At 46.3% G+C, this 20603-nt stretch overlaps 1 protein-coding gene across 1 annotated transcript in view; it reads right to left on the minus strand.

Moving 5' to 3' along the window:
- Positions 1 to 611: 611 nt before the first annotated feature.
- ZNFX1 (zinc finger NFX1-type containing 1) overlaps positions 612 to 20603 on the minus strand; it is a 32158-nt gene continuing 12166 nt past the window's right edge. Inside the window, exons 5-14 of the mRNA NM_021035.3 lie at positions 19428 to 19576; positions 18046 to 18195; positions 15175 to 15289; positions 12129 to 12376; positions 10520 to 10659; positions 9207 to 9361; positions 8378 to 8523; positions 7432 to 7542; positions 6239 to 6334; positions 612 to 4423 (exon numbers count right to left, since the gene is read on the minus strand). Of these exons, the coding sequence (NP_066363.1) occupies positions 1979 to 4423; positions 6239 to 6334; positions 7432 to 7542; positions 8378 to 8523; positions 9207 to 9361; positions 10520 to 10659; positions 12129 to 12376; positions 15175 to 15289; positions 18046 to 18195; positions 19428 to 19576 (3755 nt within the window). The 3' untranslated portion in view covers positions 612 to 1978. The remainder of the gene's footprint in view (positions 4424 to 6238; positions 6335 to 7431; positions 7543 to 8377; positions 8524 to 9206; positions 9362 to 10519; positions 10660 to 12128; positions 12377 to 15174; positions 15290 to 18045; positions 18196 to 19427; positions 19577 to 20603) is intronic.

Below are 20603 nucleotides of genomic sequence, written 5' to 3' on the forward strand. Positions count from 1 at the left end.
AAGCCAAGTGCAGAACTGTGTACTTTTTCTTTTCCTTTTCCTTTTTTTGAAGCAGGGTCTCACTCTTGCCCAGGCTGGAGTGCAGTGGCTTCACTGCTCACTGCAACCTCGACCTCCCCAGGCTCAGGTGATCCTCCTACCTCAGCCTTTGGAGTAGCTAGGACTACAAGTGCAAGCAACAACACCTGGCTTATTTTTGTATTTTTTTTTTTGTGGAGATGGTTTCGCCCTGTTGCCCAGGCTGGTCTTGAACTCCTGGGCTCAGGCCATCTGCCCAATGTGGCCTCCCAAAGTGCTGGGATTACAGATGTGAGCCACCATGCCTGGCCTAAGGGATGTGTATTGCATGTGCATAAGTTCTCTCTGGGAGGACTCAGGAAGTTAACAGGGTTTGCCTCTGGAGAAAGAAACTTCAGGTATACCCTTTTGTACAGGCTGAAAAAATGTTCTTTTTACCGTGGGTAAAAATGATTCATTCACCAGCTAAATAAAAATCCTGTATCACAAAAACAAAATCACAGCCTCACTGTAGACAGTGCCTTCCCTGTGCCCGTCTTCACTGTCTTTGGCTGAGTTGCTTCTGAAAATTGAGGATACACGTGGACCACTGATTTTCTCAATCATTGTTTTTAATTGGCTTTATAAGCTAAAGTGCATAGTAAAGACAAAAAAAGGAAATGCATACATAGGAAAGGGACACTTAGAAAGGACCTGAGATACCTAAATGTCTGTTCTAAGGAACACTGGAAGGAGGGAATGCAGATGCAGGCAGCAGGCCTGGGTCTGGCTTCTGGCCTGGGTTTGGAGCCTGCAGAAGCTGCTGGCATGCTAGCTCTACCCAGGGAACAGCTCCAAGAGGGAGTGTTGGGATGAAGGATCACACTTGGGATAGGTGCTGCTGGTACCAAATGTGATTTTAGCTCCATTCAGGGCCCAGGGGTAACCAGCAGTGCCACCAAACCTGTCAGCAGGTAAAGAAACTTCTACCATCCCAAAGTGCAGGTTACAGGAAAGGGGTCACTCCTTAATGACGACCTGGGCCTGCTGCATAAGGCCCATCTTATGCAGCATGTGGGCTGTCCCATCTTCCCCACTCTCAGTGACTATGTAACTGTGTCAGGGTGAGTTGGTGCAGTCTTTTGTCTTATCACGTGCCTCCATCTCCTGGAGGCAGGGTGCCCAAGGAGGGCAGGGAGGGGTTCTTGTGCTCCTTTAAGGGATAAGCAGTTCATAAACAACTATGGGCCTCTGTTTATTATGAGAGTTAGTCTGCAAATTAGGGCCTGGCAATTAGAATCGGTCTGCATCAATGAGCTCATACTCTGTTCCTGGGGAACAATGTAGAATAAACATCTGACCAAGTAAAGACCCAGAGATACCACTAGGTGGCCCTAGGTGGAAGCCCCAAACATGTTCCAGGGAGTCTGTCCACTAATTTGCAGGAGAGAAGGGGTGAGATTTGTTAACTTTGCTCTCAGTTCTGGAGATAAAGTGCTTACTCTAGCGCAGGGGTAAATCTAGAAACAAATGTGGGTGAGCCCTAAAAGTGGATCCTTAAGTAGGTGCTAAGACTAAAAAGAATGATTTTTTTTTTTTTGAGACAGAGTCTTGCTCCTGTCGCCCAGACTGGAGTGCAATGGCATGATCTCAGCTCACTGCAACCTCCGCCTCCTGGGTTTAAGCGATTCTTCTGCCTCAGCCTCCCAAGTAGCTGGGATTACAGGCGCCCGCCATAACGCCCAGCTAATTTTTGTATTTTTAGTAGAGACGGGGTTTCGCCATGTTGGTCAGGCTGGTCTCGAACTCCTGACCTCGTGATCCGCCTGCCTCGGCCTCCCAAAGTGCTGGGATTACAGGCGTAAGCCACTGCGCCCAGCCTAAAAAGGATGATAATAAAAAACAAACTTCAGTTCCTTCATTAGGGAGCTGGCCCCAGTCATTCAGTGGCGAGGGCAAAAGGCAGTGGTGTACCATCTTCCTACATCATCCCCTGGATCTCCTCAAAGTTCATCAGGTTGTTGGCCGTGTCAGACCAGGCAGCATGCTGGGCTCCATCCATTTCAGAAGCAAGCTGGTTGCTTCTTTCCAGAGTATGATTTGTGCCACCAATCACTTCCTTACAGTCAGGACACGTGCCCCTCTCCATGGCTCCCCCACAATCGCCAATCACATAGATATGGCCATTGCGGCACTTGAACCAGTGACCACGAGGATAACCTATGGCACTGACAATCTGCACTCGCTCTTCCTCTGAGATGCCCAGGCCAGAGCAGGGAAGGGTGGCTTTCAGAGCTTCCATCTTTTCCTGCACAAGTTGTTCATCCTCTTGGGTGAACTTACATGTTTTCTCAAGGATATTCTGGACACTATAGACCTCTACTGCTATGCTATCTTTCACCTTCTTCTCTGCTATCTTGTAGCGGGTCAGAAGGTTCACCAGGTATGTGAGCCTCTGGATTTCACTTCGGAGGTCACTTAGTTCCTGGCTAGTGAAGCTCAAGCGCTTCTTGGCCAGCCACTCATGGACCTGTTCTAGTCGAGTCCTCACTCTTTTCTCTTCTAAGACATGCATCTTTTTCAGGGAATCCCACAGGCTGGCCAGGTGGTCATAGAAGCTGATGTAATTCTCAACCAGACCCAGGTCCTTCACTGACAGATTTTTCTGGGCCAGCTTCTCCTTTAACATCAGGAAGTCTTCAGGAAGCAGCTGGTGGAGGAGGCTCTTCCTCTCCAGCAGGGCCTTAAGCCGTTCCTGGCTGGTTGCTATTTCCCCTGCTGAGCCCTGGATCTTTTCCTTGATGATTTCAATCTCTTCTAGCCGCTGTTTTATGCTAGTTCCATACCTCAGGTTTTTGCGGATGGGCACCTGGCAGATAGGGCAGACTTTCAATCTGATGGCGACTTCATCATCCTTCTGTTCATTCATGTAGCGGTCTAGGGCTTGCACCTCAAAGATGTGGCTGCAGTCTTCCAGCTGCACAAAGCGGGCATCAGGCTCATCCTCAAAGCCAAAGAATATTTGGGTGACCTCATCCATGTGGCAGATCCGGCATTTCTTGGGGCATGGCTCCCCACAGAGACCAATGCAGGGGTGGCCACAAACTAGCAGCTTAGTACAAGGCACATAGCATGGGGGTCGGTTGCAGGGCTCAGAGCAGAGTTTGGTGCACTGGTAGTGCTGGCAGCGCCAGACACAGGGTTCCACGCAGGGACTACACAGCTCCCCACATTTCTTCTTGCACTGGCTGTGGACACAGCGGTTCTGACAGGTCCGCTGGCAGGGTGGGCACTCACCAATGCATGGTTCCTGGCACTTGTGTGAGCAGATAAGCAGGCGCTTGCAGGGCTGCTGACAGCGTTCATGGAAACGCCCTTCGAAGCAGCTGTGGCAGGAGCCTGGGCAAGGATGCCCGCAGTCCAAGATAGTGCCACACTTTGTGGTACACTTGACTAGCAGACCACCATACAGGAGGCCTTCCACATGACCACATTTTACCGGTTGACTGTGCCCACACTTGAGTTTTATGGTGACCATTTCTGAACACAGCTGCACACAGTCCTCACCACATGGGTGGCTGCATCTGTGCCCACATCTCAGAGACTTGGAGCAAGGCTCCTGGCAGCAGAAATCTGACTCAGGCACGGAACAAGGGACCATTTGTTCATGGCCGCACCGAGGAATGGTTTTGGGCACCTTCACCTGACAAGGCTGACACTCCTGGAAGCAAACAAGGGGACACCGGTGCCCTTCCTGACAGATGACCTTCTGGCATGGCTTCATGCATTGGAACTCCTTGTGTGAAGAGTCATAAGGGTGGCAGGCACGGGTGCAGACATGCCCACAGCCCAGGCGGAACTCGCAGGGCAGGCTGCAGCCTCCTTCGGGTACTTTTTGGAAGTCAGAAGCTTTGGATACTAAGGTGTGGGTTTCAGGGTGGTTCTGGCAGCAGAGCCGGAGCATGGGGCCTATTTGATTGTTCTCTCGAAGTGTATGAATGATCTTGCTCCACAGGGGCACCTTGGCCAGCATCTGCATGTTTCCGATGCAGTACATTCCCTTCTTGGCTCGGGACAAGGCCACACAGATGCGGTTGGATATCTGCAGAAAACCCACCTTGCCTTCTTGGTTGCTCCGCACTAGCGAGAGGAGGATGATGTCATTCTCTTCCCCTTGGTATTTGTCCACAACATGGACCCTGACGCCAGCAAATGTCTTGGCAGGCATCAGTTTGCGCAGGCAGAAGAGCTGCCCGGTATAGGTAGTGAGGATGGTGATCTGGGAAGGCAGGTATTCCTGGCACAGGAAGTACTTGCACAGCTCTACCACAAAGTGAGCCTCATGCTGGTTCTGATGGCTTTTGCCCTCTTGGATTTCCTGTTCAGGAAAGTTGTGTTCTACAAAGAAAAGGTTGGAAGACACCCCCTGACAGGGAAAAGAAGTGACATGTTAAAAGGTTCACTCATGGCACTTGTTTTTTTCTTCCTCTCTTGACATGCACTGGCCACTTACTCTGCTCCAGAGAGAGACCTTGGAAAGCTTTTTGTCCACTCAACATCACTATCTTTAGTTCTTTAGTTAGTCATTGTGTGCTTCATTTTGGGGCCACAGCAAGTTATGAAAATAAAAGATTATGTCTCTTTCAGTTTTCAAGATACTTGTTTGATGTTAATATTTAAAAAAGCTGGCTGGGTACAGTGGCTCACGTCTGTAATCCCAGCACTTTGAGAGGCCGAGGTGGGTGGATCACCTGAGGTCAGGAGTTTGAGACCAGCCTGGCCCACATGGTGAAACCCCGTCTCTACTAAAAATACAAAAATTAGCTGGGCGTGGTAGTGGGCGCCTATAATCCCAGCTATTCAGGAGGCTGAGATGGGAGAATAGTTTGAACCCAGGATGCAGAGATTGCAGTGAGCCGAGATCATGCCACTGCACTCCAGCCTGGGTGACAGACAGAGTGAGACTCCATCTCAAAAAAAATAGAAAATAAAACAGCCATCCACAATCCAACCATTATAGCTGAAAGAACAAGCAGTGCTGTGAGGAGGATGATGATAATGACAGAGCAGCTAACTTACTGAGCACTCCACTGTGCTGACTGCTTTATATACATTACCTCCTTCCATACAGTAATGGGATATGGCAGGAGCCATTATTCTTATTGTCCAGAAGAACCTGATACTCAGAATTTATTTATTTATTTTAAAAAAAGAGACAGTCTTGCTATGTGCCCCAGCCTGGTTTTGAACTCTTGGCCTCAGCTGACAATTTTTTTTTTTTGAGACAGAGTTCACTCTTGTTGCGTAGGCTGAAGTACAGTGGCACGGTCTTGTTGGCTCACCACAACCTCCACTTCCCAGGTTCAAGCGATCCTCTCGCCTCAGCCTCCCAAGTAGCTGGGATTACAGGCGCCCACCACCATGCCCAGTTAATTTTTGTATTTTTAGTAGAGACGGGGTTTCACCATGTTGGCCAGGCTAGTCTCCAACTCCTGACCTCAGGTGATCCACCCATCTTGGCCTCCGAAAGTGCTGAGATTATAGGCATGAGCCACCACACCCAGCCAGGCACATGCCACCGCACCCAGCTAATTTTTGTATTTTTAGTAGAGATGGGATTTCACCATGTTGGCCAGGATGGTCTTGATCCCTTGACCTTGTGATTCGCCCGCCTCGGCCTCACAAAGCTCTGGGATTACAGGCGTAAGCCACCGCGCCTGGCCAGAATTCTTATATAACTTGCTTAAGGTTACATGGCTAACAGGCAGAATTGGGATTAAAAAACCCTGGTCTGTATTTCAATTTTCTCCCAGTAACCAGCTTTTAAAAAGCTGGCTCTACTCCCTTCTGAAGGCTTTCTTTTTTTTTTTGACAGGGAGTCTCTCTCCGCTGCCCAGCCTGGAGTGCAGTAGCATGGCACGATCTCAGCTCACTGCAACCTCCACCTCCTGGGTTCAAGCAATTCTCCCACCTCAGCCTTCTGAGTAGCTGGGATTACAGGTGCTTGCCACCATGCTCAGCTAGTTTTTGTATTTTAGTAGAGACAGGGTTTCACCATGTTAGTTAGGCTGGTCTCGAACTCTGACCTCAAGTGATCTGCCCACCTCAGCTTCCCAAAGTGCTGGGATTACAGGTGTGAGCCACCGCGCCTGGCCGCTGAAAAGCTTTTTTATCTTGAGGAAATTATAGCCTTTTTAGGTTGCTGACACCATCCAAGAAAGATCGGGTAAGACAGACTCACCTTAATCTTCTCATACTTAAGAACAGATGGATGATTCTCCAGATCCTGGTAAATGTGGGGGGTCAAAAGGCGGGCAATTTCAGGGCACATACGGTGCTGAAAAAACACATGCATGTCATTAGAAACATGGGCAGAGCACACACGGACAATTTCTTTAAAGATAAGGTTGCTGTTAGAAAATTTAGGGAGGGCCAGTTGTGATGGCTTGTATCTGTAATCCCATCACTTTGGGAAGCCAAGGCAGGAGGATCACTTCAGGTCAGGATTTCAAGACCAGCCTGGCAACATAGTGAGCCCTCATCTCTATTTTTCTTTCTTTTTTTTTTTTTTTTGAGACGTGTCACCAAGGCTGGGGTGCAGTGGCGCAATCTCAGCTCATTGCAACCTCTGCCTCCCAGGTTCTAGTGATTCTCCTGCCTCAGCCTTCCAAAAGTAGCTGGGACTACAGGCATGAGGCACCACGCCTGGCTAATTTTTTGTATTTTTAGCAGAGACAGTGTTTCGCCATGTTGGCGAGGCTGGTCACGAGCTCCTGAACTCAAGGGATCCGCCCGCCTTGGCCTCCCAAAGTGCTAGGATTAAGGTGTGAGCCACCACACCTGGCCTCTATTTTTCTTTTCTTTTTTTTTTTTCTGAGACAGAATCTAGCTCTATTGCCAGGCTGGAGTACAGTGGCATGATCTCGGCTCACTGCAACCACCGCCTCCCAGGTTCAAGCAATTCTCCTGCCTCAGCCTCCTGAGTAGCTGGGATTACAGGTGCCCACCACCATGCCCGGCTAATTTTTGCATTTTTAGTAGAGACAGGCTTTCACCATGTTGGCCAGGCTGGTCTCGAACTCCTGACCTCAGGTGATCTGCCCACCTTGGCCTCCCAAAGTGCTGGGATTGCAGGTGTGAGCCACCGCACCTGGCCTCTATTTTTCTTAAAAAAAAAAAGGAAAGAAAATCTAGAGAGATAGAGATTATCATTTGAAAAAAATAAGGAGAAAGCATAACATAAACAGCTCCTTTGTCCAACAAAAACTCAACACGGTGATCTTGTGGTGTTTTAAAACAGAAAATGTAAGGTTGACAGAGTCATTTCAGTATTAAATTATTTTTATTTATATGAGACCTCTTTTGCTGGCAACTGGCAGCTTCCCAGGAGCTTTCTCCTGGGCATTTGGTAACAACAGAGGCCCAGCTTCTCACCTGGTAATTCAGACGGACAAAGGGAATGTTTACTTTCACTAGCCGTTCAAAAAGGGACACCTCAAGGTTGAAGTTCTTGGCCAGATCATACACGTTGGCACTGGGGCGCAGCTGAGAAGAGAAACATGGCTGAGGATTCTCTACTGATAAAGTCATTTAACCATCCATACTTCCATCCATCCAACCAACCATCAAATGTTTTTCAAGTGTTGACTATGTGCCAGGCACTATTCTACATACTCACAGTTTAAGGATTAATAATGACAAGGGTTAAGGATTAGTAGAACTAAAGGTGATATGACAGAGTGCCCCATGGTGGGTTTTTTCTAGCTAGGCCTCTGAACAGTGACATCTGAGTAGACACTAGCATGGCAGAAGTTGCCAGTTCTTCAGTCATTTGAAAAGCAAGATCCATAATGGGGAGCGGAAAGGACACAGTGGGACACCAAGAGCAAATGGGATGAAGTCAGAGAAATAAGCTGAAACCTGATCACATAAGCCTTTGTGGGCCACTTTAAGAAGCTTGATTTTTATGCAAGTGCAATGGGACACCACTGGAGGGTTTTCAGCTGGAAAGTGATATTATCTATCTACCTTTTTTTTAAAAAAATTCACTTTGGCTCCTTTATGTAGAGTGCATTAAAAGGTAGCAAAAATGGAAGCAGAGAGACTGAGGAGCATGCTATTACAATACAGTCCACTCAAGAGGCCATGGTGGACTAGGTAAATAGCAGAGGGAATGGATGAAATAAATGACGTTGCCACTAAAATATACCCCAAATCTAATAGCATCTGCTCTTAGACTGAACGTGGGAGGTGAAGACAAGAGGAATCACAAGAAGCTACTAATAAGCTTGAGGACTGTTGAAGCAGAGGCCAGGGTCTTCCTTTATGATCTCACCCCCACGGAGAGCCAGCCCATCTTCTAGGGGGACTCTCGTTTTACCTGCTGGTGGTCCCCAATCAAAATGAGGTGCTGGCAAGCTTTGCTCAATGTGGCAATGGTATGGGCCTCAAGGACTTCCGCAGCTTCTTCCACTATGACAATCCTCGGCTCCACCTTCTGTAGGATCTGGCGGTATTTGGCAGCACCTCAAGTGAGGAAAGAAGAGAAAGGCTCCTCTGAGCTGAGGCACAGGACCCACAGGGCCACTGGGCCTCTGGGAATCCACTTCTGTATCTTCCCTGAACCTGCATCAGCGACAGCTGGTCCTTATAGTGTTCTGGGTGGTCTCCAGAACATTAAAACTGTGTTGGTCACTGTTGGAGTTTCAAACCCAGCAGGAGAAAGTGAGTGAATTTCTTTTTTCTTTTTTTTTTTTTCTTTGAGACAGTCTCACTCTGTCACCCAGGCTGGAGTGCAGTGGTGCGATCTCAGCTGACTGCAACCTCCACCTCCCAGGTTCAAGTGATTCTTGTGCCCCAGCCTCCCGAGTAGCCAGGATTACAGGCACCCACCACTACACCCAGCTAATTTTTGTATTTTTAGTAGAGATGAGATTTCACCATGTTGGCCAGGCTGATTGCAAACTTATGACCTCAGGTGATCCACCTGCCTTGGCCTCCCAAAGTGTTGGGATTATAGGCGTGAGCCACTGCGCCTGGCGAAAGTGAGTGAATTTCACCAAGAGTTCTCAAAATATGGGTGCTTTCAGTAGCTTTTCATGGTATTTTCCTCTAACCTACCAAAGAAGCTCCTCTTTACCTGTCCTTAGATAATCTGGCACCAGAAGTGAACTTAGATGCAACAGGCAAATTTCTCCACAGTTTCTTACCTGTGGTTGTCATTCCTACAACCTGGGCATCTTTAAGAATGTGCAGGTCTTCCTGGAGTCTCAGCTCGGCCATTCTTTCTGCTGATGTGCGGTACTGGCGTTCATAGCTGAGGATCTTCCGGCGGGTGTCAGCCTGGTACAACTGTAGCCAGAGCCTGGAGAATGGGAAGAACCAAGGAAAGAAAGCCACATGCTCTTTGAGAAGGTGGAAGAACGCCCTTCAGTGTGCCCAGTGTATGAAGTGAACCTTGGACCCTTGGAGCATAGTGACAAACAGAGAGATACATTCAGGGACCTAAGAATCCAAAATGCCCAACAAAAAGATGTGCAGAGTAGTCAGGAGCTAAGGAAAGGGGTGAGATAAAGAACAAAGGTTAACTATGGGAAGAAAATAAGAGACTTTAAAAACTTTGGGAAGAATTCTCCCAGCTGCAGCATCCCTGCCTAATTTCCCTCCCCTCCTCTAATTCTCCATAGAGTATTTATTTTATTAGTAAAACTGATGATGTCACTAATCGCTGTAAAACTTTCCAACGGCTTTCTACTACTTTTTTTTTTTTTTTTTTAAAAGACGGAGTCTTGCTCTGTCACCCAGGCTGGAGTGCAATGGCGTGATCTTGGCTCACTACAACCTCCACCTCCGGGTTCAAGCGATTCTCCTGCCTCAGCCTCCCGAGTAGCTGGGATTATAGGCACCGGCCACCACGCCCAGCTAATTTTTTGTGTTTTTAGTAGAGACGGGGTTTCACTGTGTTAGCCAGGATGGTCTCAATCTCCTGACCTTGTGATCCGCCTGTCTCGGCCTCCCGAAGTGCTAGCATTAAAGGCGTGAGCTACTGCGCCCGGCCTCTCCTACTCTTTTTTTTTTTTCCTGTAGAGATGAGGTCTCACTATGTTGCCCAGGCTGGTCTTGAACCCTGGGCCTCAAGAGATCCTCTAGCCTCAGCCTCCCAAAGTGGTGAGATTACAGGTGTGAGTCATTGTGCCTGTTACCTCTCTGTTCTTTTCTGAGTTTTTATACCCATTTGTAACTTTTTATTTGTGGAATTACGTGATTAATTTGTTACCCTGGATAGACTCCATAGGCTCCACGAAGGTAATAATTAATTTGTTACCCTGGATAGACTCTATAAGCTCCATGAAAGTAGAGCAAAGTGTCTATTCTATCCCATGGCTGTATCCCTATCACTCAGCTCAGTGGTGGTGCTCAATCAATAATTAGTTAACATCGTTGAAGGTCTTGGAGGTGGAGAATGTTCTAGGAACAGAAGAGGAACTCCCTACATGGGTTGGCTAGATGTGGAACACAGTACCTATAAAGCTGCCAGCGAGAACTGAGGTCCAGCTGCCAAACATCCTCGATCTCGTTGGCCTCGGCTGCAGTCATGGTGTTCAGTTTGCGAAGCTCATCCTTCACTCTTTTTTTCATTTTCTTTTTCTGGTTGCGCTGGGTCTGCAGACATCAATACCAGGCAGGGTACTGTCTGAGCAGAGGCAGGCTTGGTTTTAAGCCCAAGGCAGGGGTCACAGCACGTAAGAAAAAGGGCTGGCATCACTGATTAATGTCAAGTGTCTTACATTCTCCCAACAGCTCTTCCACTGTAGAGTGGCTAAACAAGGACTCTGGAGCCAGTTTGCCTGGCTTCAAAGCCCTACTCTACCTCTTACTAGGTTGTGGGACCTAGTAAGGTAAATGACCTAACCTCTGTGTCCCTCAGTATCACCTTCTATAAAATGGGAATAATAATGGTATCTCTTTATAGGATTGTTGGCTTGTCAGGAGTAAATACGTGGAAAGCATTTATACTAGTACTAGCACTAGTTATCATTAAACATCTTTGACCATAGCCTGTTTCTTGTTCCTAAAATGCATGCCATGAAAGTCATGGGGGTGGTACTTTCTTGTTGAATGCTGTACAACCAGTGCCTAGCAACTGGTGCTTCACACAGGACTTGGCACAGTGCCTGCTAAAACGGTCCTACTGCCATCGTATCAACACAGTACCTTTAACAAGTGGTGGAAAGCACTGTTTATGAGAAAGTGCTCTCTTCTGGCCGTCACTGAGTCTGAGGCTATGAGCCTTTAGAAGGCTCGCAAGTCAGACAGATGTCACTAAATAAAGATCTTCCCGCTGCTTCAAAATGAAACAAATCAACCTTTCCTGATGCCTCCTGGGAGAGATGCTGAATCTGTGCTTCTAAGAATTGAGATCATGACTCCGCTCACCACATATAGTGATACTGAACTGAACTAGATCAGGTGCAAAGCCAGCACTCAGATGAAAACTGCATCCAAAGTTGCCCTTGAAAGTTCTCAAATCATTGGTAAGGTTTACAAATTCTTATTTTGAATATCTAATCCTCGATCATCATAGTTATGCATGGTAAACAGTGAGGACTACTAGGCTCCACCAAAAGGAGCAGAGGGAAGGCTACATGAAGACACCTGGGCATTCATACAATTCTGGCTTTAAGAGAAGTGTCAAATTCCAGGCTGAATGAAGGAGGAATATTCCATCCAGCCTGGAGGTCTCGCTTCATTGCTTACTTTAATCCTCTAAAATCTTAGTACATGTTCACAAACTCATTTGAAATAGAGAAAACAACACTCCTGAAGGCATTAAGTACTGAGACCGTGTTTGACCTGACTCATATGTGCTACATTCTTCCACAAGTTCTACAGAAGCACTTGGCTACCTGCTTCCTGTCTTTCTAAGTTGGCATTTCTTGCCAGAGGCCCTCTGAAGAACCATCGTATTTATATCCTTGGGAATCACTAAAGCCATCTCATACCAGGGGTAGGCTGTAATACAGGTACTTAGCTAATTGTAATGGTGAAGTGAATATACTGTATCAGAAGTGGGGGAAAACAAGCGGTCAGAACACTCTCAGGCCTGTTTCAACCCAAGGAAGTGAGTTTACCTGCCACTCTCCTGTGGCTTGCTCCTGTCCAGCTGCTGTCCCAGTGCCACAATGGTCTAGCCTCATGGCCAGAAGCATTTTAGCCAACTCCTGGTCTGCTCCACTCTCTTCCTTCTTCCGCCGCTGGGGCCTCACCACCTCTTCCTCCTCAATCACCCGGTCTGCTTGAATCAGGTCAGCTTCCTCTGCGATCTCTATCAGCGAACTCTCCTCCTCCCCTTCTTCCTCCTCATCCCCTTCTGCCTGGGCTAAGAGAGAGAAACAGGCAGGAGAGAGATGAAAACTCTTTTTTTTTTTTTTTTTGATATGGAATCTCGCTCTTTTGCCCAGGGTGGAGTGCGGTGGTGCGATCTTGGCTCATTGCAACCTCTGCCTCCTGGGTTCAAGTGATTCTCCGGCCTCAGCCTCCTGAGTAGCTGGGATTACATGCACCCACCACCACGCCTGGCTAATTTTGTAGGCTAATTTTGTATTTTTAGTAGAGATGGGGTTTCACCATGTTGGTCAGGCTGGTCTCGAACTCCTGACCTCGTGATCTGCCCGCCTTGGCTTCCCAAAGTGCTGGGATTACAGGCGTGAGCCACCGTGCCTGGCCAGAGATGGAAACTCTTGAAGCTAAGGGACAGAAGACGGCACCTGCAAGAGCTCAGATGCATGAAGACATTATCAAGGGTTTATGTGATTTTTTTTTTTTTTTTGAGACGGAGTTTCACTCGTTGCCCAGGCTGGAGTGCAATGGCACAATCTTGGCTCACCACAACCTCCACCTCCCGGGTTCAAGCGATTCTCCTGCCTCAGCCTCCCGAGTAGTTGGCATTACAGGCATGCACCACCACGCCCAGCTAATTTTGTATTTTTAGTAGAGACAGGGTTTCTCCATGTTGGTCAGGCTGGTCTCGAACTCCCGACCTCAGGCCTGCCTCGGCCTCCCAAAGTGCTGGGATTACAGGTGTGAGCCACTGCACCCAGCCCTATGTGATTATTTTTGAGAAGAGAAACTAAAAGGAATGAGAGGAGAGTTAGGAAAGGCTTAAGGTCTCCTTATATACTTTTTGTTACGTTTTACGTTAAAAAATCATACGAATATATGCCTTTTAAAGAAAGGTTTTGGCTGTGCGTGGGGCTTATGCCTGTATCCCAGCACTCTGGGAGGCTGAGGTGGGTGGATCACCTGACGTCAGGAGTTCGAGACCAGCCTGGCCAACACGGTGAAACTCTGTCTTTACTAAAAATACAAAAATTAGCCAAGTGTGGTGGCGCATGCCTGTATTTCTAGCTACCTGGGAGGCTGAGGCAGGAGAATCACTTGAACCCAGGAGGTGGAAGTTGCAGTGAGCCGAGATCGTGCCATTGCACTCCAGCCTGGGCAACAGAGTGAGACTCCATCTCAAAAATAAATAAATAAGGCTGGGCGTGGTGGCTCATGCCTGTAATCCCAGCACTCTGGGAGGCCGAGGTGGGCAGATCACCTGAGGTCAGGAGCTCAAGACCAGCCTGGCCAACATGGGGAAACCCCATCTTTACTAAAAATACAAAATAAGCTGGGTGTGGTGAGTGTGCCTGTAATCCCAGCTACTTGGGAAGCTGAGGCAGGAGAATTGCTCGAACCTAGGAGGCAGAGGTTGCAGTGAGCCGAGATCACACCATTGCACTGCAGCCTGGTGGACAGAGTGAGACTGTGAGACTCAGTCTCAAAAAAAAATAAATAAATAAATAAATAAATAAAATAAATACACAATAAATAAATAAAGGTTTTACTTATACCAAATACATATACAATGGAGGGCATACAATGTAAATATGTAATATAAAGGATAATAAAAATATATAAAATGAATACCCAAGTACCTTCCACCCAATTTAAGTAGAAAACTGACAAATTTTTTGAAGACCTTTGTTAGCCTTCCTAACCCGAATTTTATATTACTCATTTCCTTTTTAAAAGATAATAATGTTACCACATTTATACTGTATCTAAGTAACACATTGTCTAGTATATATGTTTCCATAACTTGCCTTTTTTTTTTTTGAGACTATGTCTGTCACTCAGGCTGTAGTGCAGCATTGCAGTCATGGCTCACTGCAGCCTCAACCTCCTGAGCTCAAGCCATCCTCTCGCCTCAGCCACCTAAGTAGCTGGGACTACAGGCACGCACCACCACACCCAGCTAAACTTTTTCCTTTTTTTTTTTAGTAAAGACAGGGTCTCATTATGTTGCCCAGGCTGGTCTCCAACTTCTGGGCTGAAACGATCCTCCTGCCTTGCACTTGCAAAGTGCTGGGATTACATGCATGGGCCACTATGCCCGGCTAACTTGCCTTTTTCATTCAGCATGTTTTTGAGATTCATATGTGTTACTGTATATGCTGTGTTTCATTCCTTTTCACTGTTGTACAGTATTTCATTATCTGAGTTGACTTAATTGATCCATCCATTGAAGAAATGTTGATGAACATTTGAGTTCTTTCTGATTTTCTGCTATGATAAAGTGGTTATGTAAATTTAAATATCCCCAGCAGCAGTGCATCAGAGTTTCCATTGCTTCAAATTCTCATCAACATGGGGTTATATCAAACTTTAATTGTTGCCAAACTGGTGTGTAAGTAATAGTTATCTCATTGTGGTTTTAATTCCTCTAGTTTTTAATGAGCACTTTTCATATATCTATTGAACAATTTCCTATTTTGTGATGTGCCTGTTAAAAGTCTTTTATCTCATTAGCTGCGCGTGGTGGCACTTGCCTGTAATGCCAGCTACTTGGGAGGCTAAGGCAGGAGAGGAGAATCGCTTGAACCTGGAAGGTGGAGGTTGCAGTGAGCCGAGATCACACCACTGCACTCCAGCCTGGGCAACAAGAGTGAAACTCCATCTCAAAAAAAAAAAAAAAAAGTATTTTATCTCTTTTCCTTATATTAAGCTATTTGTCTTTCTCTGATTGACTCATAGCTCTTTATTTATTCTGGGAATTATTTTTAAGTCTCACTGTTCTGGTATTTACTATATTCTACGTTAAGATTTGATTCTAGGAAGACATGCACTTCTTACCTGTATTCTCAGGTCCTGCTGGAGAAACACTTTGCGTGAAAGAACCGACACCAAGACCTAGCCACTCCAGCATCATGGAATGCTTCCAGTGCTGGAAGCAAATCCATTCACTATCCTAAGGAAAGAAGAATGATCATTTGTGAGGATTCTATGACAACCAATGTGAAGGCTGGGTCTCCTCAAAGAATCAAAAGCAGATTGGGGCATGGTAGCTCATGCCTGTAATCCCAGCAATTTGGAAGGCCAAGGCAGGAAGACTGCCTGAGCCCAGAAATTCAAGACCAGCCTGGGCAATACGGTGAGACCCTATGTCTTTAAAAAGAGAGAAAAAAAAAAGACTGGGCGTGGTGGCTTGCGCCTGTAATCCCAACACTTTGGGAGGCTGAGGCAGGCGGATCACCTGAGGTCACGAGTTTGAGACCAGCCTGGCCAACATGGTGAAACCCTGTCTTTATTAAAACTACAAAAATTAGCCAGGCATAGTGGTGCATGCCTGTAGTCCCAGCTACTCAGGAGGTTGAGGCAGAAGAACTGCTTGAACCCGGGAGGCAGAGGTTGCAGTGAGTGGAGATTGTGCCACTACACTCCGGCCTGGGTGACAAAAGCAAGATTCTGTCTCAAAAAAGCTGGGTGTGATGGCATGCACATATAATCCCAGTTACCCAGGAGGCTGAGGTGGGAGGACTGCTTGAGCCCAGGAGGCCGAGGCTGCAGTGAGCTATGATTATGCCACTGCCCTCCAGCCTGGGCTCAAGACCCTATCTCAAAAGAAAAAAGAATCAAAAGTAATTCCCTTAAAGTTTATAGGCTGTACTATTCACAACAGCAAAGACATCTAATCAACCTAAATGCGCATCAATGAAGGACTGGATAAAGAAAACGTGGTACATATATACCATGGAATACTATGCAGCCATAAAAAAGAATGAGATCATGTCCTTTGCGAGGACCTGAATGGAGTTTGAGGGCATTATCTTTAGCAAACTAACACAAGAACAGAAAACCAAATACTGCATGTTCTCACTTATAAGTTAAATGATGAGAACACATGGTCACATAGAGGGGATCAACACACTGGGGCCTATTGAAGGGTGGAGGATGGGAGGAGGGAGAGGAGCAGGAAAAATAACTGATGAGTACTAGGCTTAATATCTAGGTGATGTACAACAAACCGCCATGACACAAGTTTTTTTTTTTTTTTTTGAGACAGTCTTGCTCTGTCGCCCAGGCTGGAGTGCAGTGGCACGATCTCGGCTCACTGCAAGCTCTGCCTCCCAGGTTCACACCATTCTCCTGCCTCAGCCTCCTGAGTAGCTGGGACTACAGGCGCCCGCCACCATGCCCGGCTAATTTTTTTATTTTTTTAGTAGAGACGGGGTTTCAGCGTGTTAGCCAGGATGGTCTCAATCTCCTGACCTCGTGATCCGCCTGCCTCGGCCTCCCAAAGTGCTGGGATTACAGGCGTGAGCCACTGCGCGCTTGGCCTCATGACACAAGTTTACCTACGTAACAAACCTGCACACGTACCCCTGAACTTAAAAGTTAAAAAAAAAATTAAAAAAGAAACATCATATTGTTAAAAAAAAAAAAAGTTCAGAGGCTGTGAACTGGCATCTCCTTGGGCAACTGGAACATTTAACATGACTTGTATAGAATTTTAAAAATCAAAGGGCTGGGCACGGTGGCTCATGCCTATAATCCCAGCACTTTGGAGAGCCGAGGTGGGCGGGTCACCTGAGGTCAGGAGTTCAAGACCAGCCTGGCGAATGTGGTGAAACCCTGTCTCTACAAAAATTAGCCAGGCATGATGGCAGGTGCCTGTAATCCTAGCTACTCAAGAGGCCAAGGTAAGAGAATCGCTTGAACCCGGGAGGCGGAGGTTGTAGTAAGCCAAGATCGCGCCATTGCACTGCAGCCTGGGGTGAGAGAGTGAGAACTCTGTCTCAAAAAAAAAAAAAAGAAGAAAAAAAAAAAAGAATTAAAAAAATTTTCCAGCCTATTTTGACAAAATCAGGAGCTATGGCAGCAATGACTGTTTATTACTGAATGGCAACAAATGGCTGGAGCTGGGTTGCTACCACATCTGTTCTAGTTTGCCACAGTCCTCTCCGCTTCTTAATATTTCAAATCTAGATTGCTTCACTTATTTGTAAGACCTGAATGACCTCTGTAAGCTTTTGGTTTGTAATCCTGTAAATCAGCAACCTAATGGTAACAAAGCTACCATTTCACTGGGTTCCTAGCCTGCCACTTTACAGAGACTGTCTCAGTTATTTCTTACCATATCTTTTGAAGGTAGGCATTATTATTATCCATGTTTGATTGCTGAGGATCACATGAACCCAAGTCACACAGTCAGTCTGCATGACTATATCTATCAACTCCCAAGTTCTCTATCTGTGCTAGTTTGCCTCTGGTTATGATTTTCTTCATTTCATTTAACAAACACTTATAGTACAGTTACTAAATTAATAAGTTTACAAATATCACCTTGCTCATCTAAATAACAATCCTGTAAGAACAAAGATCTGTAAGAAATTGCCTTTTTTGCAAATCAATATTACAGATGTTGGCAATTTCATATGGTTCAACTTAATGCTTATTATTATCCCCATTTTATAAAAGGGGAAACAGCCACAGAAAATTAAGTAACTTGTCCAGAGCCAAGCTCAGACTAAAACCCAACAGGCTGGTTCGAGTTTTGTTCCTGACCAGCATATTCAGCTGCCTCTCATCACAAAAGGGAACTTTACACATTGTGGCAGCATCAGATTATCAAACAGGTAAAGTTTTGGACTGATGCTTCTCCTGGAGGCTACCTCAAAGTACTGAGGCCAGAGACATATTTGTGTCCCCCAGGATGACCCCTACCTGCACTGGTCCATTCATGAGACTTTCCCAGTGCTGGGGTGAGATGTACTTCTGCAGGTACTGTTCCCGTAGGACACCACGCATGGTGCACTCCAGGGTCTTGGCTCCTTCATGAAGCTCTTGCTCTGACTCCTTCATCTGTGTCATGATCTTCCAAGAACAGAGGGAAAGAAATGATGAGGAAATATCATCATCCCCCAAACTCAGTCCTCACCTTGAGGGAAAGCAAAGCTAAGACAGGAACAGTAAGGAGGGAGAATAAATAAATAGACTGGTCAACAAACCAATTTCCCAAGGCACATTATTGTGGTCTTGAAACCAAAGAACTAGTATCGGTTGAGTGTGGTGGCTCATGCCTGTAATACCAGCATTTTAGGAGGCCAAGGCAGGTGGATCACTTGAGGTCTGTAGTTCAAGACCAGCCTGGCCAACATGGCAAAACACTGTCTCTACTAAAAATGCAAAAATTAGCCAGGCGTGGTGGCAGGTTGAATATCCCTTATCCAAAATGCTTGGGACTAGAAGTGTTTCAGATTTTGGAATATTTGCGTTTATACTTACTGGTTGAGCATTGCAAATCTGGAAATCCAAAATGTGAAATAATGTTGGGCCGGGCGCGGTGGCTCACGCCTGTAATCCCAGCACTTTGGGAGGCCGAGGCGGGTGGACCATGAGGTCAAGAGATCGAGACCAGCCTGGCCAACATGGTGAAATCTTGTCTCTACTAAAAATACAAAAATTAGCCAGGTGTGATGGCGGGCGCCTGTAATCCCAGCTACTCAGGAGGCTGAGGCAAGAGAATCGCTTGAACCTAGGAGGTGGAGGTTGCAGTGAGCCGAGATTGTGCCACTGCACTCCAGCCTGGGTGACTGAGCAAGACCCTGTCTCAAAAAAAGAAATAATGTTGGCACTCAGAAAGTTTTGGATTTGGATTTTCCAATTTGAGATGCTCAACCTACACAACAGAAAAACAAACAGGCCAAGAATACTGTGGGAGAGACTTCAAGGCTCACAATATCTGTTCTCTCTCTTTTCCTTAGTAATAAGAACTCAGATTTTTGACTGGGCACATTGCTGCCCAGCTAAAAGATGACATTTCCCTGGTCAGTTGGCTGTACACAGAGGTGCTGTGGGTGGTATGGGGGAAGGAGCGTTAAGGTAGGGTGGGGATGGGCAGTGTTTCCTTGTCTTTTCTCCATCTTGGATTGTGAAGGCAAAGGTCATACCAAGGGATTGGCAGAATAGAATGCTGAAAGGAACCTGGGTCCTCCAGAGCTTTGAGGAGCCTCCAAATCTACCCTGGGCTGCCTACCCAGAAAGCCACTGCTATCTTGTTTAGGTCCCTCTTGAACTACCCCAGATATTTCAGAGCTGGGACTTACACTCATGTAGGCCCTTCGGAGGTGCATGGGGAGGTTGCGGCGGAATTCCCGCTTGTTCCTCAGCTCCCTTAGGGTGAACTGCTTCAGGATTTCACTGTTGCTCCTTCCACCCACCCGCACAATGCTGGTCTTCTGACAATTGTAGATGCCTGTGGAACAAAGTGGAGCATGGCAGGGTTGAGAGGAGCTTATGCTAGGTTCTCTCAGGTGAGAGCTGTGTGTATTTGGGATCTAGTCTGGTCCCTTAGAGAATAAACTTGTGCTTAAAGGAAATTTACCCCATTAATGAGTGAGAAGGTCCCCGAGAAGATGTGACCTGCAGAGCAGTAAAGTGTAGCACTTAAAGAGTACAGGTTCTGGAATCAGACAACTAGGGATCCAACTCTTAGCTCTACCACTTATTGCTGTGTAACCTGGGGCAAGTGACTTGAGTCTCAGTTTCTCTGTCTGTGATTTAGAGATGGCAATATCTCCCATATAGGGCTACAGTCTGGATAAATGAAAGAAAATCTTTAAAGCTCCTAGCTAGGGCCCAGCACAAAGCAAGCACCCAGGATATGTTACATATTTTTCACTCTGCAGATTTACTGATTGCTCATATGTTTTAGGCATGTGCCAAGTTCTGAAGATATAGCAGTAGAAACATAGGCCCAGTTTCTGATTTGTTATCATTTCTTTGTCTCTGGCAGGAAGTTACTCATTAAATAATTAATACGGCAGCAATAAATGTAGTGAGTACTGGTAGCAGGGGACATTACCTAGTCTGGGTGGGGTAGGGATCTATTTTTAAGAATCTAATATTTAAACTCAGACTCTAAGAATAAAGATTTATCTAGGTGAAAGGGAGGTATAGAAGAATAAAAATAAAGGAAAAGCATATATTTATTCATCCATTAATGTTATTTAGTATTTTTTGAGTGCCTAATATGTGCCAGGATATGTGAATACAGCAAGAAAAGGACCAATCCTCATCTAGGGTAGCGATACATAAAATAGATTATAAAAAAATAAAAAATGCAAAAGAGACTTCACTTTGGGGCTATAGAAAAAGTCCACCTGAGAAGAGAGATTTAAAGTGGGACCAGAAGAATGAGTAGGGCCAGGTTGAGTAGGGCCAGGTTGAATAAGCTCAAGATGGAGAGGGAAAAAACTATTCCAGGCCAGAGGATGGCATGG

The sequence above is a fragment of the Homo sapiens genome, chromosome 20 (genome assembly GCF_000001405.40).
Source record: "Homo sapiens chromosome 20, GRCh38.p14 Primary Assembly".
In the NCBI taxonomy this organism is placed as follows: domain Eukaryota; kingdom Metazoa; phylum Chordata; class Mammalia; order Primates; family Hominidae; genus Homo; species Homo sapiens.